This window comes from Homo sapiens, chromosome 1 (assembly GCF_000001405.40).
Source record: "Homo sapiens chromosome 1, GRCh38.p14 Primary Assembly".
NCBI lineage: Eukaryota > Metazoa > Chordata > Mammalia > Primates > Hominidae > Homo > Homo sapiens.
The window spans coordinates 41,514,323-41,542,049 of NC_000001.11; the positions used below are offsets into that span (position 1 = coordinate 41,514,323).

The 27,727-nt window shown below is 54.9% G+C and overlaps 1 protein-coding gene across 2 annotated transcripts in view, besides 4 other annotated features; it reads right to left on the reverse strand.

Annotated features, from left to right (window-relative positions):
* HIVEP3 (HIVEP zinc finger 3) overlaps positions 1-27,727 on the reverse strand; it is a 529,570-nt gene that overhangs the window by 7,958 nt on the left and 493,885 nt on the right. For both annotated transcript variants that reach the window (NM_001127714.3, NM_024503.5), the window contains 2 exons: positions 10,413-10,588; positions 4,080-4,166 (listed from right to left, as the gene is read on the reverse strand). In NM_001127714.3, coding sequence (NP_001121186.1) covers positions 4,080-4,166; positions 10,413-10,588 — 263 coding nt within the window. The remainder of the gene's footprint in view (positions 1-4,079; positions 4,167-10,412; positions 10,589-27,727) is intronic.
* Positions 1,851-2,030: a silencer, noted in NCBI's record as "silent region_750". NCBI's record gives its function as "represses an Ori minimal core promoter by ATAC-STARR-seq in GM12878 lymphoblastoid cells {active_cell/tissue: GM12878}" and the evidence as "EXISTENCE:reporter gene assay evidence [ECO:0000049][PMID:35858748]".
* Positions 4,436-4,485: an enhancer, noted in NCBI's record as "active region_867". NCBI's record gives its function as "activates an Ori minimal core promoter by ATAC-STARR-seq in GM12878 lymphoblastoid cells {active_cell/tissue: GM12878}" and the evidence as "EXISTENCE:reporter gene assay evidence [ECO:0000049][PMID:35858748]".
* Positions 7,022-7,616: an enhancer, noted in NCBI's record as "H3K4me1 hESC enhancer chr1:41987015-41987609 (GRCh37/hg19 assembly coordinates)". NCBI's record gives its function as "activates a minimal SCP1, AML or CMV promoter by ChIP-STARR-seq in primed H9 embryonic stem cells {active_cell/tissue: H9 hESC(primed)}" and the evidence as "EXISTENCE:reporter gene assay evidence [ECO:0000049][PMID:30033119]".
* Positions 26,638-26,852: a silencer, noted in NCBI's record as "fragment chr1:42006631-42006845 (GRCh37/hg19 assembly coordinates)". NCBI's record gives its function as "represses an EF-1alpha promoter that drives an FKBP-Casp9 reporter gene in an ReSE screen in K562 erythroleukemia cells {active_cell/tissue: K562}" and the evidence as "EXISTENCE:reporter gene assay evidence [ECO:0000049][PMID:32094911]".

Genomic DNA, 27,727 nt, shown 5'->3' on the forward strand with positions numbered 1-27,727 from the left:
CTTAAAAATAATTATAGCTACCATATTAATACATTAATGATGAAATCTGTTATTCCAGGACAGGGCAGTCACACTGGCTGGTCCAGCAGCACAGAGCCATCCGTGGTCAGTGTACACACACATCTGCCACGGTGACCAGGCTCCCGGTGGCTGGCACAATGGCATCTGGCAGGTGGCGGACTCTGGCCTCTGTGGGCGGCTTGACTAAGCTGGCCTCAGGCTGCAGAGCAGGTCCCCATCCCAGCCACGCTCTTATCTGAGGAGCCACTGCCCTTTTGAAGTCCAGGCTGCCTCTAGCCTCGGGGCCCTCCCATTGCCTGCCAGCCCCAGCTCCACCCCATAGTTTTCGACCTACATGTGGCTGAATGCCCACTTTTGTCCACTTTGGACATCTGACTGCTGCATGTTGAGTGACTTGGAAGCAATTGTTCACAAGAGTAAACAAAAAACAAAATTGTGATACTTGTTTCAGATATTGTTGGACATTTAGGTCACTTGCACTCCTTAAACAGACTATAAGAATAATGACAGAGTTATTGAATAGAGTCTAAAAGTGGGGGTTAGGGCTCTGGAATACTAGCCTCCTGGTCTGATTCCTCTGGGATGACCCCAACCAGTCGGGTCACCTCTAACATGTCAGGAGTCTAGTTTGGGCATCTCTGAAATGGACAGCAATCCGGATGCTGGGGAGAGCTCCGCTAACATCTGGCCTGTTCGCTGGCCCATCACTAGACCATTGGAACCTGTTTCTGGTCTGCAGAGTGAGGTTGCTGACAGGTGGGTTGAGCTGGCCAGCCAGCCCCATCGCTCACACATATCAGTACTGCACCCACCTGACCAGGAGGGCTGGCACAGAAACTGACTCAGGCCGCTGGGGCAGCTAGGCTTTGGCTCTCAACCATGCCCAGCTGCCCCGGGGCCAGAAAGCCCGGAACTAGCACTTCCAAGTCACTCAATATGCAGCAGTCAGATGTCCAAAGTGGACAAAAGTGGGCATTCAGCCGGATGTAGGTCAAAAGCTATGGGGTGGAGCTGGGGCTGGCAGGCAAAAGGAGGCCCCTGAGGCTAGAGGCAGGGTGATGAGACCAGAGGAGGAATGAAGGATTAGGATGAGAGCAGGGCTGGGGATGGGGGTGAACTTTGTAGTTATGCCCCAGGCATTTACCTCCCTTGCCTAGGACTTTGGGAGGGGCCTAATTCAACACCTGTTCACCTGGCCCTGCCCCTCATTTACATACAGCAAAATCCAGGCACAGATGACCCAGTGAGAGCTGGTGGCTGAGTCAGAACTAAGGTTTACAGCCCTTGCATTATTACGCTGACAGTTTAAAAATGATGTGCTGCACTAAGAAGCAGGGAATGGTCGGGTTTGAATCTCAGCACTACCACTTCCTTGCTGTGTGACGTTGGATACTTTACTTTCTGTGTGTCTGGTTTCCTCATCTGTAAACTGGGTAGCAATAAAAGCACTCTAGGAAGCTGTTCAGAGGACTGTGAGGGTCTGGCACACAGTAAGTACCCAATAAACTTCAGCTCCTGTCATCCCATGATACCCTGTCCCCCCAGTCTCAGCAGGCAGGTAGCTGGGGTGGGATTGTCAGCATTTTGCAGATGAAGGTCACAGGGGTAGTGTTAGGAGTGAAGGAGAGTCAGGACCAGCGTCTCCTGATGTCCAGCAGGGAGGGCTCCTAAAGATCCTCTTTACTAATGTGGAAGTTGAGACCCAGTGGGGGTAATGGCCCGTCCTGGGCACTCAGTGCATGAATGCTGGAAGCCAAGAGTCCCCTGCCCAGCTCGGGGCTGGCCGGGGCCTCCACATCTGCGTTCCTGCAGGGCGCTGAGGGAATGCCCCTGGCTGGGCGGCCCCGCCCCTGCTGGGATCCAGGCCAACGCTCCACAAATGAGAGAGCTTGAGCGCGCGGCGGGCGCCGCTGGGAGAGGCCACACGGTGGCGCTAGCGCCCAGCCTGGCCAGCACCATGGGCAGGGCCGGGGCGCCTGGCTCCTTCCAGGCAGTTCTCCCACGCGCCACCTCGCGTCCCACAGACACGAACTCCTGCCGCTCCCCCCGGCATCTGTCTCGTCGCGGGAAGTGGAAACTCCATCCTTCAGTCTCTTGGGCCGTAATCCTTGGAGTCCTCCATGGCTCCTTTTCGTTCTTCCCCCTCTCTTCTGCCCCATATGGGGTCATCTGAGCCTGTGGGCTCTCCCTCCGGAACCTCCCCAGAATCCCGCCGCTTTTCCACCTCCTGAGCACACCCGTGCTCCCCGCGCCCACGGCACAGGCCAGAGGACGCCCTGCCTCTCTCCTCCGCTCCAGGGCACCCCCCCATGCCCTTCAGCCCTCAGGCTCTAGCTCTCTCTGAACCGGCTGCCCCCGCGTCCAGCGGGCTCCAGCACGCGGGCCAAGCGCCGTGGCCCCCGGGGACCCCACACCTGCTGCTCCCTCTGCAGGAGAGCTCCTCCCTGACCCCACGTGGCTCCTGACCCCGGTTCCTCCGGGTGGGTTCTCTGCTCACACCGCCCTGTCTAGCACAGCGGCCCTCCCCACGGGCCCCAGCCCTCACTTGGCTCTTCTGCTTTCTCTTTGGCTTCACAGGCAGGGCCCCTGCTCTACTCCACCATCGTTCCTTGCCCAGCTCCCCTGCCATGCCGACTGCCTGAGGGCAGGAGCTGTTTTATTTATTGCGGAACCCCCAGCACCCAGAACAGAGCCAGGCACAGAGACTGTGCCCAGTAATTACTTCTGGAATGAATGCATGGATTTCGTCCTCCGAAAAGTGGCTCTGAGCATCCTCGTTTGCTCCACTGGGAAAATGAGGCTGGGGCAGGGCAGGGACCTCAGGGGAGGGCTCTGGCTTAGGTTCAGGCTCCCCTGGTCCAGCCCACCAGGCAGTGGACTGGCATGCAGCCAGGGTTTTTGTGTGACCTTGGGCTATTTTTACCTGTCTGAGCTTTGACTTCCCTGACTTAACATGAGTGACACAAGTTTCTGCCACCTGTTTTGAGGACTCAATGAGACAACATGTGCATATGGCCCAGTGTATCCTTGACAAGCATAGTGAACCCCATTCTAGCTTTGGGGGGGAACAGCCCCAAGTTCACTGTGTTCTCCTCTATAAAAATGACTTATTCCACCTAAAAGGAAATATGACTTAACTCTTTTTTGTAAGACCACAAATACATCCCCAAATTGGAAAAACAAAAACAGAACAAGACACACAGTGCGTGCATACACACTCCTCTCTGTCACACTCTAAGTCCTGGGGCTGATTTCAGGGAATCAGTATGCTTCCTGCTTTGCTTGGTGCTGGCGAGATGGCTCCAGCCTCCTTCTGTTGGAGGGACTGCCGTCCACCACCAAAGCCCCTCTGGCCACCTGCCTGACTGCTGAGGCTGGGCAGTGCTCAGCCAGACCCACTGGCTTCGACTCCTCTGCCCTGTCTTCTCAGAGACTGACTCTAAGATGCCTCCTGGGGATTGACCACCATGGCCGGGGTGTGTACGGGGATGGGGCTGGGAGGTGACAAGCGGCTGTCAGGTCTGGTTTGGGCTTTTTTGAAACTCTCCTAGCTCCAAAAGGCCCATGTGTCAGGCCCATGCCAGAGTGTGTAGGCAGGAGTGTGGGTGTGGAGCTTCGGAGAGTATGTGTCCCACAGTGTCACTATGAGGGGTTGGCTGGGATAATTCAGGGCATGCATTTAGAACCCGCCTGACACATAGTGGGCACTCAATCAACGTTGGCTGTAAGTTCTCTTGTGTGCATTTATTCAGTAAACATTCACTGAGCACCCATGGGTGCCAGGCGCTCCACCTGCATGGCAGATGGTAATGCATGATAGCTAGGGCTGCAGAGCATATCCTATCAGCATGTGGGGAGGTGGCTCGATCATTCAGGGAATTTAACCTTTGTCTGATACTTGGGAGAACTGAAGGTGAAGCTATTGGAGGGAGAGAGGGGAGGAGGGGGAATGGGGCAAAGCAGACAGAAAGGAAGCAGGGAAGGCAAGCAGGAAAGGTGGAGGAGGATAGGGAAAGCGGACAAGGGGAAAGGGGACGGAGAAGGTTGGCAATTGTTACCTTCTTCGGCTTCCAGCTCCTCCAGCACCCCTGTCTCTTGGCACTTTTTGCTGTGGGCCTTCGACTTCATGTGCTTAGTCAGATTCCCTAGAAAGAAACGAGAATACTTAGGCTCTGCTATGGGGCAGGAGGCCAGGGCGGACCCAGGGCTCATGGAGGTAGCACCTGGCCGGCAGGCCATGGTTTCTCAGGCCAGTCAAGGCCCTGCCAGCTGCAGGGCTGGGCAGGAGCTGGGGTATCCCTCTGCCCCGGTGCTCAGGCCCAGAAGTGTAGCCACAGCTGCTGTTCAGGGCAGTGCACAGCAGCTAGGTGGGGTGGGCGAGGGCTGTGAGGGGACAGACAGTATAATGAGGAAGTGAGATGCTGGTTAAAAAACAAACAAAAAAGAAATTAAAAGACAACTCAAGTGCAATAGGTTTTTTTTTTTTTTTTTGCTTCTGATTTAAGTCTGGCCCTAGTAGCTGGTGACACTCATCAGGCAGGACTATTGGCCATCTCAAGTGTGGGATGACGTGGGAGGCTCCCATTGACCGGCATGACGGGTGAGGACTGAGCATGCCCTTCTGGCTGAGGACACCTCTAGGGCAGCTCACAGGGCAGAATTCTAAAGTGTAGGTAGAGAAACCAGGGCAAATTTAATATTAGGCATGGCGAGAGGGCAGAAGGTGAGAGTAGGGAAGTCTACTAGCCAGGGACTCAGGAGCCACAAGGCTGGGGGCCCAAGCTTGGTTTCCATAGAGAAGTCCCATTTCTGGGCCTTCAGTTTCCCCAGGCCAATCTACAGTGCAGACACAGGACCAGGGTGGTTCAGGGAAGGCCTGGGCAAGGCCTCTGTCCTGCTCCATGCCTACAAAGCCCTCAGAGGGGAGGCTGACTTTGCCCCAAGTTGTAGGTCCAGCCCACAAGCTGAAGAGTGGAGGCAGCAGCTCTGTGGAATCAGGGAACAGTAGCAACAGCTTCAGTTCCCCAACAGGTGCACAACATTTCACAGGCCACACAGCTCTGTGGACAGGAGCGTTCTAGGAAGGACAGGCAGAGCATCCCAGCCTGCCCCAGAAGAACACAGGCCAGATGCCTCAGGATATTCCTTTGGGCCCAGCAGCTACTCCCAAACCGTGATGTGCTCACTGTTGCCCTGGGGATGGCTATATTTCCATATGGTCATTAACATCATAAGTCATAAGTTCCCTGAGTCAGGTGCTCTGTCCCATTAGTCTAATGAATTGGTAAGTTTGAATGGATGGATGGAGGAGAGAAGAATGGAAAGAGCTAAGCCTCCTGGAGTGGATGAATAGAGCGATTGGTGCGTGGATAGATAAAGTGGATAAAGGAAATATAAAGAGAATGAAGAACAGGAAGAGGATAGACAGAAGGATGGAACGCTAGATGAGCAGATAAGGAGATGAATAGGCAGACGGAGGATAGGTGAGTAGATGAAAACAAATGGAAGGATAGATGGAGAATGGGTCAATAAACAGATGAGATGATGGAGAGCTGGATGGGAGGACAGAGACGTGGATGAATGGAAGAATGGAAGAATGGCTGGTTGGATGGATGAATGGATACATGCACTATTACATGCATGAGAGTACAGACAGAAGGATGAAAGAATGGGAAGTTGGATGGGTGGGAGGACAAATGGGAGAATGGTAGGAACAGATAGGATGAGCAGATAAATGAACAGGAAAACAATTAGATGAGATGGATGGATAGGTGACCAGGGAGAGGGCCCATGGATGAACTGAAGGGTGCTTCTTAATCATTCCTAGAATTAGAAGAAATATTTAGGGTTTTGCTAAGAGGTTAATGGGGGACCCTTAAGCTGGGATTCCCTGAGGTGTCCAAGTCAAGGGCAGCAGGGATGGGAGGGGAGCTGTTTCCTTTCCTCTTTCTTCACCTTGGTCCTAGTTCATGACTCTATCCTTCCCAATTTGGGTTTTCCTCCTACAACCGGAAATAAATCTGGATGTCCTACTCCTGGCCATAGTGGGAGCAAAGCCATAAATTTCAGAGTCATCTTGTAGCCAGAGGGTCCTCAGAGGTCCCTATCCAACCTTGTGGACTTCGGCCCTCATTGTCATGAGAAGGCAAAGCCAGAGTAGGACAGTCAAGAGGTGGGAAAAGGCAGCTGGGGTCTTCCGCGGATCAGAGATACCCACTGTCCTAAGGTCGTGGAGCCAGGCCCACCCTACCCTGACTACCCCAGGCCACAGGGCACTGTGGACACTGCTCATTCTGGCTATTACCTCACTTGTTGCACCTGTTCTGCCTGGAAGGTTTAGGTCTCTAATGAACCAAGCTAGACGCTGGGCACACAATGGGTGTACAATAGCCATGTATGGGAAATGCCCTTGTCATCGCAGGAGGAAAATGTTGGAAGGAGCTTCAAAGTCCATGTAATTCAACCCCCGCCAGGCTGAGGTTCTCCCTGCTTCTGATCTGACTCTGGGCCCAGGTGCTGATGGCACCATTAGACAAGATCACTGGCTGTCTTGGATGCTGGCAGGGCTGCTTGAACCAACACAGTGAATCAAGTGGTCCACAGTCACAGTGCTGGTTGGTGCCGAGTTCCATCTAGACCCAGGTCTCAAGACTCGGGGGGCCTTTCCCACTCCATGTGGAGGCAGAATGGAACCTAGATGGAACCTGGCAGCCTTGGGTTTGACTGTGGGCTCTGCCACTTGCCAGCTGTGGGCTCTTGGGCAAGTTCCTCAACCTTCTGAGCCCTGGTTTCTGCAACCGTGAAGTAATACCTACCTCGTGGGGATGCGGGAGGACTTGATGAGGTGACACAAGTAGAGTGGCAGCAGAGTGTGCCTGGCAGAGAACAGACCCCTGTCCCCATGTGAGTCACTCTATTGAGCAGCCCAGGGGCTCTGCCACGCACCATGCTGGGTGTGGAGGAAGAGATGCTAAGATGATGCTTTTGGTGAAATGGTTTTACCTTTCTCAGGAGAAGGCACCAGGGAGCCCCCCATAGGCCTCCCTCTCCTCTGCCCCCGCCACGGGGGTGCAGGGAGGAGTCAGGATCGGAGGTGACTTTGCGGGTCCAGGAGTGGACACTGGATGGGCAGCCCTGAGTGCTGTCCGGGTCCCTCTGTGACTTCCCCTCTCCAGGCCTGTCTCCTCCTCTGTGAAAGGGGAAGGTGGGGCACACGGCTGCAGGCACAGCCTGAACACCACTTCCCTGTTGAGGGCCAGGGCCTCAGCTTGTCAGGCAGAGCCACAGCTTCTCACAGTCATCCCAGACCCCACCAAAGCCTGACAGGCCTGGAATGAAGAGGAAAGGCAAGTGAGAGGTAAAGTGATGGGTGTCGGGAAGAGGCGGAACCTCCGATAAAAGGGCATCCACCAACAACCCTGCCTGCCTCATTTGGCTTTGATCAACCGCTCTGTCCCTGCCCCTGCCGCTGGCAGACCTGAGGCCATCTCTGTCCCCTGAGGCGATCGGTGCAAGGGCCTGGACATGGCACAGCCATCCGCTGGCCTCTGGGAACCATCTGAGAAGAGGAAATGGGACCCCCAGCCACCACAGGGCCACCCACAGGCCTCCCCAGCCCCACCTACTGACGCATTCCTTAGCCAGTTTCCAGAGGCCTGAGCTGCTGCCACGACGTCTGACACAAGAGACGAGACACACACGGCAGACAGAGACAGACAGGAAGGCAGGAGGGGCTCCCCAGGCCCTGGTGTAGCCGGGTGGTAGGGTCGGGAGGGCTGCCTGGGGCAGGCCTGGAGGTGGCCCAATGGGGAGGCACACAGCCCCGGAGACAAGGGGCCTGTGTTGTCTGAGCTGATGGCTGACGGGGCCCAGCACTCCACAAAGACACCTGGCCCCAGAAACAGACAGGAGCTCCAGCGCCCTGCTCTCCCTTCACCCCCATACTGCAGAGAGAGTTAACAGGGAGACTTCCCTGCTTCCATTGCCACCATCCCAACCTGGCCTTCCCTCTATTAGTCAAACAGTTTCAGATTCCACCATTTCCCATCTGCTCCCTTCGTTGGTTCTGGAAGGTTCTAGTCTTCTAGAAGCCCCTGTGAACAGTTGAGGAAGAGCTCAGGGCACTGCTTGATCACTGGTTGAGAGCACGGCCTCACAGCCCTGGCCTTCAGGACAGCAGGGGCAGCCTTACCTCGGGGGATGCTCTACACCCCTGGAAATGGGGAGGGCCTACAGCCCCTCTGTTCAGATTACGCCCTCTGGACCCTCCAAAGCCCTCCAGGGCCCTGGCTCTGTGCTGGCTCAGAGAGACCCAGGAAGGGACTGCAGACAGGCTCAGTGTGGCTTCCAATGAAGGCATCTCCTAGAAAGTACGGGCTCCTGCTAGGGACCCAAGGCAAAGGGAATTGAGTGGGCCCCCTGTGGGAAACTGCTTGGGCTGGAAACTTCCAGTCTCACGCGGCAGAGTGATGGTTTCCTGAGGCGATGGGCAGCCCAGGCTGCGTGTGGGGCACAGGTGTGCTCTGCATGGCCCTGGGCTGGCAGTGTGGTCCCCTGGACACAGGCCACTCCAAGTGCAGCTTTTTGCCACCCACTCCAGGGAAGGGAGGGAACTAACTGCTCACAGAAAGGAAGATGATGGGGTGATGCCCTGGAGCTCGGGGCCCGTGTTCTAGTTACAGCTCCAGCATTAACAGTTATTCTGTTTTCTGGGATCACTTTCTTCACCTTCAAGGGGACTTGGGTGATAAGTTTTCCACTTTTAGAGTTGACGACCGTCCATTGAATTGTCAGTCAGTTATCCCCGTCTTGCTCTTCCATAAAATCTCGACTGGCTGCAGAAGGCCAGAGGAAGTGCGGTTGGAGGGCGTGTCAGGGACAGCCCATGTCCAGGGCGACGCATGCTGGGCAGGGCTGCAGGGATGGAAGACACCTTCGAAGCACCCATGGGGTGGGTGGGGAGTCCTGGGCCAATGTGCCCTCTCTGGGCAACCTTTGGGACATTGTTTATGAGACACCAAGAGAGAAGAGGATGGGGGAAAGGCAGTGGGAGGGCAGGCACCTCTGTTTAAACCAAAACCTTGACAGGAAAATTTGAGCTCAACTTGCAGATGATGGCGAGGGGACAGAGGAGGGCAGGGGTTCAGTTAATGGGGTGAGGAGACCAGAAATGGGAACACAGTCAGAGAAGAGGCCACTCTCCCAGGGGATGTGATAAACTGGCCCCTGACCTGGTATAGAGAGAACGGAAGGGGCCAAGCAGCAAGAGCACGGAGGAAGTGAAGAAGGGTAGGGACCCTGCTGGGCCCCCTCCAGAGCAGCTGCCCAGCCTCGCTTGCTGGGAGCAACTTTGCCAACAGAAGAAAGGTCAACAGGTGGCACAGCTGAAGGATGCCCTTGAGTTTCACCCCCTGAGAAACCGTGGGGCTCCCAGAAGCCCCCAACTTGCTCAAAGGAGAAGACAGGACCCTGATGTCCAAACCCTGACCCAGGAATCTATCAAGCTCCAGAGGCTGAAGACACTGGGGTGCCGAGAGCCCTGGGTCTCCCTCCAAGGCGCTTCAGTCTGCAGTGAGCAAGCTGCCAGGACCTTCCCTGCCTATCCTGCAGTAGGAGAGTGCAATCCAAGAATCTCATGGACTCAGCTCCTTTGTCCACACCAGGGGCCTGGCCTGGGTGGCTGTGGCAGGCCAGGCCATGCCCATCACCCATCACAGCTCTCTGGGATGCATGCCTTTCACAGCAGGCCCCTCCTTTCACCAGTGACTGCCAGAGCCTATCCTGACCCTGATGTGGGGTGTGGCTGGGGCAGGGGTGACAGGGCTGTCAGTCTGGGAGTGGGGGGCTGGCCCTGTGCTGAGAGGTGCAGAGAAGCTGGGTGGAGCAGGGGCATGGTGGGAGTGGAGAGGTGGGTGGAGGTCGGCGCGCTCTGGCAGGAGAAGAGAGCATGCGAGTGTGTTAAGCAGCTGGGAGTGGAATGGATTTCCAAATGCAAGAGTGGCAGTGACGAGCATGGATGCTGGAGTGTCTCAGATCAGTGGATAAACGGCTCAGGAGACATGCAGAAGGGAGGGGAGATGAGAGAAGATGCAAAACCATGAACGGTGAGCAAGAGTGCCGCACCAGGCTGGGCAGGCCAGGGCCGGGTGGCCACAGGTGCAGGGGCTGTGTGTGTGTTCCAGGAGGATGGCTGGGGGCAGCCATGGGGAGCCACAGGCCAGTCTGGAGCCAGCTGCTCTGCCACTGGGCACCAAGCTGGGTGGGAACCCAGGAAATGGGGCTGCTCCAGGCCCCCTGCAAAGAGGTCTGGGCACCTGAACTCTGTGCTGGGACTCCCAGAGGGGAGCTCCCTGCAGCGGGCAGGGGCAGTGCCCCAGCTGACTCTCTCTTACCTTTGGTTTTAAAAGCAAAGTGACAGTGCTTGCACACATAGGGCCGGACGTCAGTGTGGGTGCGGATGTGTTTCTTCAGCATGCTGGGCTTCTTGCAGCGAATTCCACACTCCTCACAAACATATTTCCCTCGGCCGCGGCCTCGCACATATACATACTCTTCGTTTGATTTGTACCTATGAGCAACAGGCGTCATAGTAAAGGGAAAAAAAAGGAGAAGAGGCAGGTTCCCACCTCAGAAGACGCACGCGCTTCCTAGATTCATCCAGCCCGTTACAGACGCAAGGAATGGAGGCCACGGAACCAGAGAGGACCACGAGAGTGGGAGGAACTGAGTCACCCTGGTGATCCACTGCGGACCCCTGCGCCCCTCCCCCTCAGACGGGGGGTTGCACTATTCTTCCTCCTCCAGAGCAGCAGACACTGGCGCTTCCCACTGAGGGGATGTGGAGCTGCAGGGTGCCAGACAGCCTCCTTGGCACAGCCAGCCCAGCTACAGCTTCGCCCACAAAGAACAGCCACCGCAGGCCACCAGAGTCCCAGAGAGGGAATGATGATAATAAAACAGCAGCAGCAGCTCGGGCAGCCGCCATTCACCAAGTGCTCACTCTGCCAGGCACTTTACCCAAATCAAAGCACAACCACCTCACCATGGAGAGCCTGTGAGACCCCGAGATTTAGAGACAGTGAGAGACTTGTCCAAGATCCCATAGCCAGAAGGGGCCAGAATCAGGCTTTGAACCTGCCTGCCCCAAAGCCTGTCCAGTCTGCCAGGAAGCCGCCTTGATATTCATGGGAGGAGAAGGAACAGGGACCACCATTGCTTCCCTGGCTTCAGAGTTTGGAATGAGGAGTCCTGAGCTCTCCCCCTCACCTGCACGTCAGCCTGCAAGCTCTGCAGGATGCAGGGTCCCAGCCACCTGCCACATCGCTTGGGGTTCTATCTGGAAGTGCCACCAGCTTTCAGAAGCTGCGCCTGAAGCACGAATCAGAATGCTCTTATTTCCACTTAGAAGGAAACCCACGAGTCCCACATGCGCAACAGGATCACGATGAAGCTGTCTTGTTGGTCTAATGCTATACATGTGCAAGTCTCAGATGCGGTGGGGAGGGTGGCAGGGGGCGCGCCAGGAGAGGGGACCCTGGCATAATTCCAGGAGAAGAGCCTTCTGACTCCTGAAGCCTGAGAGGCCACTGGCACGGCACGTGGAGGAGGCGTGGCTTCTCAACCTGTGGGGCGCACCTTCCAACGCCAGCCAGAGTTGCCCTCACATACTCACGCCGCACCACCTGCCCCTGCCTGGTTCCAGCACAGAGGGGCAGGAGGTGGCTGGGAGGAGGTGAGCAAGGGACAGCGTGTCGGGGCGGGGGGGCTCCACCCTGCTCCAATGGGGCCATCAGCTTACAGCTGAAAGGACTTGGGAAGGAAGGGCTTGGAAGAGGGGACTTGAGGGAGAGAGCCCGCTGGCAGCAACAGAACCACCACCACCACACCCCCACCCTCACACTCGCCCTCACACATGCTCACACCCACACACTCACCCTCACACGCTCACCCTCACACACACTCACCCTCACACGCTCACCCTCATACTAAAACATGCTCACACCCCACACTCACCCTCACACTCACCCTCACACGCTCGCCCTCACACTCACACATGCCCACACCCCCACACTCACCCTCACACTCACCCTCATACGCTCACCCTCACACACATGCTCACACCCCCACACTCACCTTCACACTCACCTTCACACTCCACACCCCTGCCGTCACACTTGCCCTCACACATGCTTACACCCCCACACTCACCCTCACCCTCACACACCCTCACACATACACCCCCACACTCACACCCTTACACCTGCTCCCACCCCCACCTTCACCCTCACACACACCCTCACACCCCCACACTCACACTCCCCCTCATACCTGCTCGCACCCCCACACTCACCCTCACGCACACTCACCCTCACACACACCCTCACACACTCACCCTAAAACGTGCTCACATCCCCACACTCACCCTCACACTCACCCTAACACACACCCTCACACGCTCACCCTCACACATACACCCCCCCACACTCCCTCACACCCGTTCACACACTCACCCTAACACGCTCACACACAGCCTCACAAGCTCACTCTCACACTAAAACATGCTCATATCTCCACACACACCCTCACATGCTCACCCTCACACATGCTCACACCCCACTCATCCTCACACTCACCTTCACACTCCACACCCCTGCACTCACACTCGCTTACACCCCCACACTCACCCCCCACCCTCACACACCCTCTTCCTCACACACACCCTCACATGCTCATCCTCACACACACCCACACACCCACACTCACCCTCACACACCCTCTTCCTCACACACACCCTCACACACCCTCACATGCTCATCCTCTCACACACCCACACACCCACTCACCTTCACTCCCACTCCCACACATGCTCACCCTCACACACTCACCCTCACACACTCACCTCACACACACACACCCTCACATGCTCACCCTCACACACCCTCACATACACCCTCACACCCTCACACTTCACACCCCTGCACTCACACACACATCCCACCTTCACACTCACCTTCACACTCCACACCCCTGCACTCACACTCGCACTCACACTCCACACCCTGCCCTCACACTCACCTTCACTCACACTCCACACCCCACCCTCACCCTCACACCCCTGTCCTCACACTCACCTTCATACTCACACACCACCCTCACACACACTCACACACCCCCGCCCTCACATGCTCACCCTCACGTATACACCCCCACACCCTCACACTCTTTCACACTCCACACTCAAGCACTCACACTCATTCGCATACTCTACTCCCCACCCTCACACTCGCACTCCACATCCCCACCCTCACACACCCGTTCTCACACATTCACACATCCCACCCTCATGCTCACCCTCACACACCCCCACCCTCACATGCTCACCCTCACACATGCACCCTACACCCTCGCATTCACCTTCACACTCCACACTCCTGCACTCACACTCGTTCTCACACTCTACACCCTACCCTCCCACTCAACTTCACATTCACAATCCACTTCCCCACCCTCACCCTCACACCCCTGTCGTCACACATTCACACTCACACCCCACCCTCATGCTCACCCTCACACACACACCCCTGCCCTCACATGGTCACCCTCACACATGCACCCCACACCCTTGCATTCACCTTCACACTCCACACTCCCGCACTCACACTCCACACCCCGCCCTCACACTCACCTTCACATTCACACTCCACACCCCCCTCACTTACCTTCACACTCATACCCTTGCCCTCACACCTTCACACTCACACCCCACCCTCACACCCTTACCCTCACCTTCATACTCCACACCCCTACACTCACACTTGCCCTCACACTCCACATCCCCACCCTCACCTTCACACACCCCTGCCCTCACACCTTCACACTCCACCCTCACACCCTCACACACTCACCCTCACACCCCTCCACCCTCACACACCCTCACATACACCCCCACACTCACCCTCACACTCACCTTCACACTCCACACCCCCACACTCACACTCGCCCTCACACTCCACACCCCGCCCTTACACTCACCTTCACACAGTCCACACGCCCACCCTCACCTTCACACACCCTTGCCCTCACACCCTCAGACTCACATCCCACCCTCACACACACCCCACCCTCACCTTCACACACTCCACACCCCCACCCTCACTCACCTTCACACTCACACCCCTGCCCTCACATTCACCCTGACTCACACCCCACCCTCACACACCCCACCCTCACACACCCCACCCTCACACACCCCACCCTCACACACCCTCACACTCACACCCCACCCTCACACTCACCTTCACACACTCCACACCCCCATCCTCACCTTCACACTCACACCCCTGCCCTCACGTTCACCCTCAGACTCACAGCCCACCCTCACACTCATCCTCACACACCCTCACATACTCCATCCTCACACTCACCTTCACACACTCCACACCCCCACCCTCACACTCACCTTCACACTCCACACCTTGCCTTCACACTTTCACACACCCCTGCCCTTACACTCACCTTCACACACTCCACACTTCCACCCTCACACCTTCACTCCACACCCCGCCCTCACACCTTCGCACACCCCCGCCCTCACACTCACCTTCATGCTCACATTCCACACCCCCACCCTCACACTCACCTTCACACTTCACATCCCTGCCCTCACACTCACACCACTGACCTCACACTCTCCCTCACACATGCTCACACCCCCACCCTCACCCTCACACTCACACACATCCTCACCCCACACCCTCACACATGCTCACACCCCCACACGCCCTCACACAACTCACCCTCACACACACCCTCACCCTCACACATGCTCACACCCCACCCTCACACTCACATGCTTACACCCATACACTCACACCCTCACCCTCACACATGCTCACACCCCCACTCACACTTACCTTCACACTCACACATGCTCACACCCCCCACTGACACACCCTCACCATCACACATGCTCACACCTCCCCACACCCTCACATTCACACATGCTGACACCCCCACACTCACACGCTCACCCTCACATGCTCACCCTCCACACACATGCTCATACCCCACACCCTCACACACACCCTCACACATGCTCACACCCCACACCCTCACACTCCCCCCAAACTCACACCCCATACTCACATACTCCACACCCCATCCTCACACTTATGCTGACACCCCTACCCTCACACACCCGACTCTCCTCCCCCCACACCCCACCCTCACACATACGTCCCCACCTTCATACACATACATACACTCACATCACTCACCCCACACCCCCCACACCCTCACACACCCCACACTCACGCCCCTACACACTCCCACAACCACACTTGCATCTCCACTTGAATACTCATATACCCCATATTTACACATACACACGCCACCCTCACAACCATCCACACACACCCCCAGACTCACTTCCACATCCCCACACACTCATACATACACATAACCCCACAATCACACACCCCACACACCCCCACATTCACAGTCACCCCCACAGTCACACTTACATCCTCACACTCCCACTGATGCATACTCCCACAATCAAACCCACACACCAACACCCCCCACCACACGGACATGCACCCCCCACCCTAACACGCTCACAGTCACACACGCTCACACCCATGCACACACACCACACACTTAGACTCATTTGCACACTCAGACCACACTCACGCTCATACACTCTCCTGGCACACTCACCCTCACCTCACACATGGACTGCTGTCCACCAGTACAGGTGGACCCTGTTTTTTTGTCACCTCAGATTTGGCCAACTGATGCCGCCAAGGAGTCTAAAACTGCCCCTTCTCCACCATGGCTGCCCTGACCAGCCAGTTTTGGCCGTGTCCCCAGTGGGGGTCACCTTTCCACGGGATCCAGGACACGCGCCACCTTGCGTCCGAGAGGACGAACTGAAGGCCGTGGCGGCGGTACGCAGAAATGACTCGGTTCTCTTAGGAAGGGCACTCTGTGGCCAAGCACGAGGCATCTGCCTCGATGTGACAGCGGCTCACCCTCACGTAGCAGATCTCCAAGACCAAAACCAGTTGCTCACACCTGGATCTTAATTCCCATGTCCCTCCATGCCCCTGGGACCTGGTGGCCAGGGAAGATGGCTGAGATGGGGCCCCCTTTCCCAGCTAGAAGAAGACAGAGTGAGGACAGCTTGGTCTCCCCTTTGCACTGGAAGCCCCGCAACCTCCTGGACACTAGCCTTCACCTGGCCTTGCTTGTCGGGTCCATGGCACTTGCTCCCCTCCCGCCACCACCTGCAATGGTGTCCTTCAGCCTAATGGTGTCCTTCAGCCTAGCCTTCACCCTGCTGATCCCCACACAGGCCCACAGCCACTCTGACGTCTACTGGGCCTGTGTGCCAGCCAACCTAGAAGCAGGTGCCAGGGTCCATCTGCCCCAGCTGCTCTCCGACCCCTTCATTTCCTCCTCCACATCAAGCTTAAATGGTACATGGTCTTTCCAAATGGAGAGAGAGAGATAGGAAGGGGAGGGAGAGAGAGGACTCTGAGCCTTCAAGGTTGGTGCCTTGACTTGGGGCGGGGTGTACACAACCACGTGCAGCACCTTGTCACATCAGGGAGGGAGTGTAGCCTGCTGGGGAACACGAGGGAGGAGCCTGGGTTGGGTGAGGCCAGGGATGACAGGAGAGATGGAGGACAGGAGAGATGGAGAATGGGAGAGAAGGGAGGACAGGAGCGAAGGGAGGACAGGAGAGATGGAGGATGGGAGAGAAGGGAGGACAGGAGCAAAGGGAGGACAGGAGAGATGGAGGACAGGAGAGAAGGGAGGACAGGAGCGAAGGGAGGACAGGAGAGATGGAGGACTGGAGAGATAGAGGACAGGAGAGAAGGGAGAACAGGAGAGATGGAGGACAGGGGAGATGGAGGACAGGAGAGATGGAGGACAGGGGAGATGGAGGACAGGAGAGATGGAGGACAGGGGAGATTGAGGACATGAGACATAGAGGACAGGGGAGATGGAGGACAGGAGAGATGGAAGACAGGGGCGATAGAGGACAGGGGAGATGGAGGACAGGAGAGATGGAGGACAGGGGAGATGGAAGACAGGGGAGATGGAGGACATGAGAGATAGAGGACAGGGGAGATGGAGGACAGGAGAGATGGAAGACAGGGGCGATAGAGGACAGGAGAGATGGAGGACAGGGGAGATGGAGGACAGGAGAGATGGAAGACAGGGGAGATGGAGGACAGGAGAGATGGAGGACAGGGGAGATGGAGGACAGGAGAGATGGAAGACGGGAGATGGAGGACAGGAGAGATGGAGGACAGGGGAGACGGAGGACATGAGAGATAGAGGACAGGGGAGATGGAGGACAGGAGAGATGGAAGACAGGGGCGATAGAGGACAGGAGAGATGGAGGACAGGGGAGATGGAGGACAGGAGAGATGGAAGACAGGGGAGACGGAGGACAGGAGAGATGGAGGACAGGGGAGATGGAGGACAGGAGAGATGGAAGACGGGAGATGGAGGACAGGAGAGATGGAGGACAGGGGAGATGGAGGACAGGGGAGATGGAGGACATGAGAGGTAGAGGACAGGGGAGATGGAGGACAGGAGAAATGGAAGACAGGGGCGATAGAGGACAGGAGAGATGGAGGACAGGGGAGATGGAGGACAGGAGAGATGGAAGACAGGGGAGATAGAGGACAGGAGAGATGGAGGACAGGGGAGATGGAGGACAGGAGAGATGGAAGACGGGAGAGAGAGGACAGGAGAGATGGAGGACAGGGGAGATGGAGGCAGGAGAGATGGAAGACATGAGAGATAGAGGACAGGGGAGATGGAGGACAAGAGAGATGAAGGACGGGGAGATGGAGGACAGGAGAGATGGAGGACAGGGGAGATGGAGGACAGGAGAGAAGGGAGGACAGGGGAGATAGAGGACAGGAGAGATGGAGCACAGGAGAGAAGGGAGGACAGAAGAGATGGAGGACAGGAGAGAAGGGAGGACTTGGGTAGGCACCCCCCGGAGCAACGGCAGAGTGTTGAGAGCCTGGAGTATTTGGTTGCAGAGAGGAGATGAGGCTGGAGGAAAGGCAGGCTGGATCACCATTGGCCTTGAACACCATGCTAAGTTTGGGATTGATAAAAGCCTTAAAGAGAAATATAAAGTCTCTAAGAGAGGATATTCCCTGGCCATGGGAATGGCCTGGAGGAGGAGAGAATGAATCCAGGCCCAGGCTCATGTTCTAGAACAGCGATTTGAGATGCCTTCTGGGCATAGGCTCCACAGGCCTCAGTGGCCATTTGGATGGGGCAGGGGTCAGAACGAAGGAGAAACCAAGATCCAGAAGTTTCAACTTGGCTCTAGTGGCACCACCCCCGAGCTTGGGGGGAAGTGATGGAGGACTCTAGTCTTTAAGCATTGAGTATGAGATGCCCATGAGGAAGACATGAAGAAACGTCCTTGTGTCAGAAATCAGTGGGACTGAGAAGGGGATATGTAGATTTGGGAGGAGGATGACCCCACAAGACAGAAGAGGGTAGTGCCGACGGCAGAGACCTGGGTGGCACCCAAATTCAAGGGTGGGCAGAACAAATGGCACCCCAAACCCTGCCCTCAAAAAGAGAAAGGTCAGAGAAGCAGGAAACTGGGAGAGAACTGTGGCTTAGCCAAGAGGAGAGGGTTTAGAGGAGGAGGGGCCCATGGCTGGACATCCCAGAGAGCTTGAGGAAGACGGCTGCTGAGGACCCAGGACTTGAAAGAGGGCAGTCCTGGTTCAACGACCTGGAACCTGTGGCTCCTCTGCTCGTTGAAGGCCAGGACCGAGGCTTGTCCAGCTTTGAGGTTCCCAGAGGGTCCAGCCAGGGACAGGCCTATGGCAGCTGTCTATCAGTGTGGACCTCCCCAAGCCTGAGGTAGACCTGCCGGGCTCTGGGTCCAGCTCCTCCTGCGGTGCCAGAGCCCACCCCACCCACTGTCCTCTCCCACAGCTTCCCAGCAGTGTCATTGCCTCCCTCTCCTAGCCCCTTCCACCACCACAGACACAAGCCCAGCTCTCTTCCCATCACAAATCAACCAGCCCCAAGCCTCCCTGGGCCCAAATCCCGGGCCAGCTCTGCTGTCCCTCTTTCCTGCACAGCCCGGATCTGGAGAGGGCTGTCCACACCTCCTCCCCACTCTATGCTTTTGAGCCGCTGCAGCCCAGCTCTGATGACCAACTGTTCTTGCCAAGGTCACAGCTTGCTCCATTGAAAGTCCATTTGCCTCATCCTGTCCGCCCTCTTGCTGGCCTTCTGGAGGCACCTCATTCCCTCCTGCTTGTGTCTCCTTTGCAAGCTCCTTTTTTGCCCACCCTTTCCCATGCCGACATGGCCCCTGCCAGCCTCCGACCTGCACTCTTCTCACCACACACCTTCCCCAGGTGACCCTCCACCTGGGTGCTGATGGCCCCCAGCCACTTCTCTCTCGAGTTCCGATGCCTTTGCTATACATCTAACTGCCTTAGTATCACCTCTGGTGGTTTTCAGGCACCTCATACCTTGCGTGCCCAGAACCAGCCTTCCAAGTCCCTCTACCTGCAGTGTCTGCTCCTGGGTCCCCGTTCTCTCTCAGCAAGCAGCACCTGCACTCGTGTGGCTGGCCAGCCCACAGGCTGGGCTTCATCCTTGATGGCTCCATTTCCTTCATGCTCCATAATCAATCCACCACCACAACCATCAATGCTACATGCAATGCATGCTCCAAGGGTGCCACCTCTCTGTCCCCACCAGCCCTGGCCACCACCCTCTCTCCTATACCACTGCCTCCTTTCTTCACAAAACAGCCAGTAGGAGCTGTCCCCAAATCCATCCAGGCTTACCACTCCTTCCAGCCTAGAGGTCCCACTTCATGCTTCTCCCACTACCATCGGAGCGAAGCCCTGCATTCCTTGGCAGGAAAGGCCCAGGGCACCATCTGCCCTTGCCACCTCCCCAGCTCATCTCCCTCCAATTCCCACTGATCCCCCCATTTCCTGCTGCACTCCCCCTCCAGCCATGCCAAAGGTCACCTGGAGCCTTGCATCCCTGCCCCAGCACCACCCCCTCTCCTGTAAGACCAGCTCCTCCACTCTACCAGAAATTTGCACCAAGGTCCTGTCCTTCGGAGGCCTGTCCCACACCCCTCCTCTGGACCTGGGGATCTCACCCACTTCTGCTCCAGGGCACTTGTCAGACTGTGTGTACTGCAATGGCCTTTTCACAAGCACAGCCCCCATCATCCCTGCGCGGGTGAGGACCACATCTACCTCATTTGTCAGGACATCCCCAGCAGGTGCCCAATACATATTCATTAGCTGCACATCAGAGAGACCAGCGAGGCCTTCTTTCCTGGGGCCTGTGATCCTCAGATTCTAGCCTTGACTTTCCCACTCCAGGAGTTCCTGAGCACAAGTTTAACTCAATGCTGGGCTCCCAAAGGAGGCGGGACACAGGCAGTGCCTCAGAACCTTGATGGGCGCATACGCTGCCCACCTTCTGAGAGGAGTGACTCTGCTCAGAGCGGGAGAGGTGGGCAGGACACTTGGGTCTTGGTTCTGCTCTTGTTGGAACTCGCCAGGTGACCTTGGGCAAGTCACTTTCTTTCCTTCGGAAATAGTCCTCATAACCTGAGACACGGCAGAGCACGGTCACATGGCGGGCATCACTCGATCCTCCCATCAACCATTTTACCATCGTCCCCATTGTATAGAAAAGGGAACCAAGGCCCAGTGGGTTCATTGACATGGCCAAGACCACCCAGCCAGCAATTTTACCACGCAGCACCCTGTTCCCGCACATCATCTAAACACTTTTAGATGATGCCGACCAAGGTTTTGTTAGCATCTTCCCTCTCCCAGGGACCTGTTACACTGCAGACAAATAAGAATGGCATCACTCCCCGCCCAGCCCTTCCAGCCAGCGCTGGGGTGGAACCCCAGGTGTTGACAGCTGTAGAGAAATGCCGGGGAAGAGCCAGGGTGGGAAACCGGAACACCATGATGGGGGTCCCTGGGGATATAGTCCTGCTTGCCTGGTCTGCTGGCCTCTTCCCTCCTCCACCCAAGGCAGCCCTTTGGAGGCCTACGCCACAGGCTGCCCTTTATCAGGGGAGCAAGTGACCAACTTCCCTGCCTGTTCTGAGGCTGCAAGACGGTCCACTGCTGGTGGGTCTGGCAGGGCTGACTTATGGAGTAATTTCTCCCAGTGTCTGGAAGCAGCTTTCTGCCCATGCCTGGGGTCAGGGCAGGACAGAGGCTATGGGGAGGGGTATGGCGAGACCAGGGTCTTCATGGATGGATCTTTTCATTCTTATGCTGTGGCTCTAAGACTCATGGACTCAAAGGAAAAGAAAAAGATCCTTAAACAACCCCTTGATCAGGAGGGTCTTACAATCTTCACTGAATACAGAAGGAAGCAGAAACAGAGAGGTTGAGTGTCTTGCCCAAAGTCACAAGGCAGCTCAAAAGTGGTGACGCAAGGACTGGACCCCAGATCTGACTTGTGTGCCCTGAAGAGCAGCACAGTATGATCTAGTGTGATGTCCTCTCCTGCCCCCGGCAACTTCTCCTGCAATCCCCATGGCTGGTGATACTGAGCTGCCTGTGAACCATCAGCACATGATATCTTGGGTTGTAGCAGACCCACAGCTTCTGCTAAGCACAAAGGAACTCGGCACAGAGCCCCCAAAGGACGTGACACGTTCCTCTGCTCAAGATGTCAAAGAGGGGTTGTGGTGGAAATTGCATGGCATTTCAGGCAAGGTGATGGAGGAGGTTGTTGTTCCCGGACTCTGAATATAACAAAAGATGGAAAGAAGCTGCTCTGCCATGCAGTGGGCTCCCCGTCACTAGCACTGTCCACCTAGAGACCAGATGAATAGGCTATGAGGTCTTCTAGTAGTAGGTAGTAGGTAGAATAGCATTATTCTACTACTCCTAGCTAGTGGGAGGGAATTCATGACGTCTACGTGCTCAGGACACGTCCAGCACACCGACAGAGCGGCTTTGGGTGGATTAGCTTGTGTATGAGTGTCATAACATTGTAAAGTGGATATATTTAGTTCACTTGGATATATTTAGTTTAGCATATTTGTTCCAGTAAATATAAGTGGCTATATTTACTCCTAAGACCAAGTGGAGGCTCAGGGCACTAGAGGGGGATGGGCTGGCAACATGATCAAGCAAAGCAGGGGAGGCGTAGGAGGGGACGCGGTGGGGACTGTGGTGACCTGGGAGGCAGGGCATATCCCTCTCTGAAGGGGCAGTGGCTATTCCTGTCCTGCCAAATGTCACATGAAGTTGTTACATCTTCCAGTTTTTTCAATGAAACCACAGATTCAGATTTTTAAAAAAAAACTAAAAATATTAGCAAACTCTTACACTGGGTGCCAAGCACGATTTTAAATGCTTTACATGCATTACCTCATTAAATCACATGACAGCCCTATGTGATGGGGCTGTCATGATTCCCATTTACACAGGAGAAAACAGTCCCAGAGAGGTTAAATAACCTGCCCAAGGTCACACAGCCAGTTAATGGAGTCAGAATTTGAACTCAGGTCACCTGGCTACAAGGTTCATGTGCTTAACTGCTGTGCAATTCTGTTTTTTAAAAAACACTGTGTAAGTCAAATAAAATACAAGAGGCGGATCCAGCCTGGAGCTAAACTTCTGGCTCAAAGTAATTTCCCCAAGGTCATATAGCTAGTCAATAGGGGCATGTCTGACCTTCAAGCCCGTGACTTTTCACTCCACCAAGCTGCATTATTTTCTGAAATGAAGGGATGAACTCAATGGCCTCCAAGTTACCTTCTTAATCTGAGATTCTATGTATTAAGCTATTCTGCATTTATATTATGACTTTTCCACCTATTATTCATATTTAATTAGAAAACTCTTGCATCTCTTCCAAGTCTGGATATTTTAAAGGTTTGCTGCATTTCTGATTTTATTATGATCTGGTTGCCAAATATGCTTTCCTCCCAGGGGGCACACTTCTTGGGTGTAGTCAGTCATGCAAAGCAAGAGGAAGATGTGACGAGCAATGCACACACTGTTGCTCTGAGACCCACTTTGGCGGGCAGCCTGTGTCCGTGAAGTGAGGCTCAGGGCCAGTTCCCAGAGGTCTGGTACCCTGGGAGGTCCAGCCATGGTGAGCTGGCTGGCTTGTCCGCAGTGACACGCTGCTCTTCGAGTGAAACTCACAGAAGAATGGATGTCTGTGGAAAGAGAGGAAAGTGCCAGGTGGTACAGCCTGCTGAGCTGTGTCTCTCTTAAAAATATTCAGTGGCCAAGAGGTAGTAGACACATCCCCTGGTGGAAAGTAAACTGGGGAGGCCATGTGGGTCATGGGGAAAGTTCACACTGGTTTCTGGGTACACCCCAGATTCTCCTTTTGTTGGGGTTCTGCAGAAACTACATCATGTCATAACGCTCAGGCTGGGGGCCATTAGGTGCACCCTCAGGGACAGGCCACTGTGCCAGGAATTCCACGGCACGCAGGCACAGAGCCCACCAGCACAGTCTCTGTTCTAAACAGCGACGTGAGCTGCAAGCATGTGAATTTACTCAACAGTATTTCCTAAGGTCTGGTCTGAGCCTGGCGCTGGGCCAGGGCCAGAAATATAAAGCTAAATAAAACCCTGACCTTGGTCTCAAGTGTGACTAACAGGCACTTAAAAGATCGTAAAGCAAAGAGATGGAAACAGTAATACAGACAATGAGCAAAGTGCTACGGATGATGAGAGGAGGAACCAGTGGGGGTGGGTGTCAGGTGGCTTCTGCAGAAGAAACACCTTTGTCTGAGACTTTTTGGGTGCACAGGGTCAGACCTGAGACTCCTGTTTTATGAGTCTCCGCCTGAGTGCAGTGTGGAGGATGGTGTGGGTGGGGAGGTCTGGAGGCCAGGAGAGGCTATTGTGACTGTAGAGAGCCCAGCTGGACAGAGGCGAGGGCAAGAGGAAAGAGGACCTAGATATGAGACAGTTCAGCAGTGGCCCGACAGAAATAAGAGGGGAGAGTGGGTCAAGGATGCCTTCTTATACACCTTCCAGAAGGATTCTTGCTGATGAGGCAAGCTCTTGTCATTTTGCAGGCTTGCTACCTACAGTGGCATTTTCACCATTTCCTGGGTTTTACTATTGTGATTTTTTTAATACTAGGAAAACATCAGCTCCCAGTGGCAGCAGCTGGGAAGATGGCAGCAGCTCAGGGGTCTAATGCCCAGCACAGCTCTAAGAATAGCAAACGCCTTTATTCTACAGAATTGGATATGATAGGTGGAGGTCCTGTGGAGTGACTTCTGGGTGACGAAGAGCAGAGGCCTAAGAGCCAGCAAGCAGGCACCAAGCCTGGGCTGAAGCCAGCTTGGGTCTGTCAAACACAGCCGATACCCCATTTCTGACCAGATAGTGGGGTTAGGGAGGCAGGCAGGAATGGGTTGAAATGAAATGAAACTGTCAGAGGAGTGGATGCCTTCACTGCGAACATTAGGTGGAGTTGCTCCAGCCATGAGCAGCCCTGGCCTGCAGGGTTCTAGAACAGTGACTTCCAATCTGTGCTCCGGATTCATGGGGCATGGGGGTGGGGAAGCCGAGCAGTGGGGCCCTGGGTCCTCCTCCCCCACCCACAGCAGCTCTGGATTGCGTTGGTTTTCAGAGTGAGTATGTATGTAAACTGAACTTTGTAAAAAGGAGTTATGTGAATGTAAAAACAATTTGAAAATTACTGTTAGAGAACATTCATGCTTGGAAGTTCCTTAAAACCTCTGATGCAGAGAAGCCTGCTGCATCCTTGGATTAGGCCATTTTCAGGTGGATCCCGTCCACACCCTCCCACAGGTGCATATTCCTCCGGCACCAGGGGACTCACAGTTTCCCAGCAGCTCCTGCGACTTCTGGGCAGCTCTCTCACTATTAAGCTGAAGTTGTCAACCTGTGCTCACACCCATGCTCTGAGCTCTGGGCAGTCCAGCTCCTCCTTCACACAAGTCTCCAAAAGCCATGATGCTGCTCGAGACTTCTTTCCTCCAGTCTCAGCATTTCCATGTCCTCAAACAATTCCACATGTGAGAAATTCTCCCCAAACTGTCCATCTTCTCCCAGAATGGCCCAGAGCACAGAAGCCCTCAGGTGGGGCTGGACCTAGCCCAGGCCGATGCAGGACCATGGTCTCCTCTTTCCACTATTCCAGCCTCACTCCCTTATGTCCCAGACCCAGAATGGGGAAGTCACTAACTAGACCCTGAAGAGGCGGGAGCCTGTCTGGTGCTCCACACCACACAAATGGCCAGAGCTGGGAGGGCTGAGGCCTCCCCAGACCACCTGACCTCACAGTGACCAGGCCCTCGCTATGTGCCACACGCTTTCCGTAGGATATCTCCTTTCTTCTTGGTTAACATTTATGAACACTTCTTCTTCTCATTATTATTTTTGCTAAAAACCGCTAAAAAAAGTCAACCAGGGTCATAGGTGAAACCTTTCATCACATAAAAATAAACAGCTACAATTTGTTAAGTGCTGACTCTGTAGTAGGCACTTTTTACAGAAATTATATCGTAGAAACCTTGGTACAATTCTATGATGACAGTGCTGAGTACGAATAGCAGGTATTGAGGCAGAAAGGCCAGTTGGAGACTGGCTTAGAAAAGCCTCAGTGCCCGGCTCTAAAATTCAGCCAGCGTCTTACAGGTGGTGAAGGAGAGGAAAGGAAAGGTGTACTGTCAGAGGTGGGACCTGCGGAGCTGCAGCTGGAAGCCCCCCATTGGGGCTGTGCGGGGCAGCAGCCAGAGAGGACACTGACCAAGGCTCTCTCTAGTAGCAGCTGACACTATGCGTACACCAGGTGCCTGGCCAACGCTGGGCTACTACAACCTGAGACCTCGGTGTTCCTGGCTGCACAGAAACACACATATGCTGAGGTACACATTAGGTAAGAAAAGGCTGTGAACAGTTTTAAATCCTGCAATGAGCTCAAGGTGTCAGCACCATGAAGGCCGTGAAACAGTTTTTGATCTATCTGAATGGGGCAAGGTAGCCAGGGCTCATGAAGGCAGTTGGTTGGCATCTCTTGCAGCTGTCCTTACAGATTAAACCTGAAGAACACTGGGTTGGGGCGTGGGGGAGGATACATGCTCAGACCCCAGAGTTACTCCAATCTGGAAAGGAGACGGATAGAGAAGGCATTCTAATTTCTGCATGACAACAGGCACCTTCTTACCCCATACCCCAAGCAGATCTGTTCCCCACCAGTTAAGATTACAGGAGAAACAGGGACCAAGGAAAACCTGTCTTTGGACACCTCAGGTCATATCTGTGACCACTGTCTCAGCCTCCTGGGAGGTAGCTCAGCCAAAAGGCAGAACCAGGCATGGAGGAAGATCCGGGCTCCCTTTAAGAAAGAGTTTTCTGACCCCAGGGCTACAAACTTGGAAAAAAGCAAGCCTGAATGGTAGTGAGCTCCCCAACAGGTCTAGTATTCAAGCCCAGATTAAATGACAATGTAAGTCTGGGGCAAAATAGATTCTAATGGTAGGAGCTGGGCTGGACTCCAGGTCCAGCGGGTTTAGCTGGACTCTAAATGGACACTGCAACCACACTGGTGCTCCAGACATAAACAGCCAGTAGGTGAGTGGGTGGGAAAACAGGAAGGAAGGGAGGGTGTGGTCACGGCTCAGAGGACTGAGGTGGCCTGTCTGATTAGGACGCTGCGAGTGCAGTGGTTAGGCATGGGGTGTTGATGCATCAGACTGCCGAGTTCAAATCCTGCCTCCTCCGACCAGCTGTGTGATCCTGAGCAAGCACCCGCCCATGGAGGGTGTGCTGATGCTGCCCAGAGGAGACCAGCTATGGCTGTGGCTGTGGGATGGTTTTACTATTACACCTCCCAGCTGTTATTCTCAGACTGAGCCACCTCTTCCAATGAAAGCCCTATTTCTCTAATCCACTCTATGGAAATGTGACTTTCCCAACTCAAAGTGGGTTTTCCTTGCAGCGAGCTATTTAGGGATGCCTGTTGTGAGTCCTTTTGTGGAAGGAAGAATCCCTTTGTGAGCCCCATGGCTGCCCTCCAGTGACTGGTGAGTCTGTGTGTTGTGGCCGTGACAGGCTGTCCACATCGCCTCCCTCCTGAATCCCCACAGCAGATCTGCAGGCCTCTCAGCAGATCACCCTGCCTGGAATGCTCTCCTTCCCTCTTTCTGATGAAGCTCCAGTTCTCCCCTGAGCTCAGATCCAACCCCAGCTTCTCAGAAGCTTCCCCTGACCCTGAGATGGGTCATGCTCTCCAGGTCCACCTTTTCTATGGGCAGTAGAAAACAGAGCTGGGCTTACCAGACAGAACTCCTGAGGCGGAAACCAGCCTCTGTCCCTTATTAGCTGTGTGACCTTGGGCAGGTTACTTAACCTCTCTGTGCCTCAGTTTCTTCATCTGTAAAATAGGGATAATGTCCTATTTCTTGACCTGTGGGTAACTGGGCACAATTCCATAGGTATGTTCACTCTGTAATAACTCATGGTTGTATACTTATGACTTGGATTGTTTTTTGTATGTATGATCTGTTTCAATTAGAAAATTACTACAAAATAATAGCATATGCTCCAAGAGGTGTTGCACATTTTACTTAGTTAATATAGGTTATGTGCTTGGAAGAGTGCCTAGCACCGAGTGGGGCTCAATCAGTATTTGCTGTATCT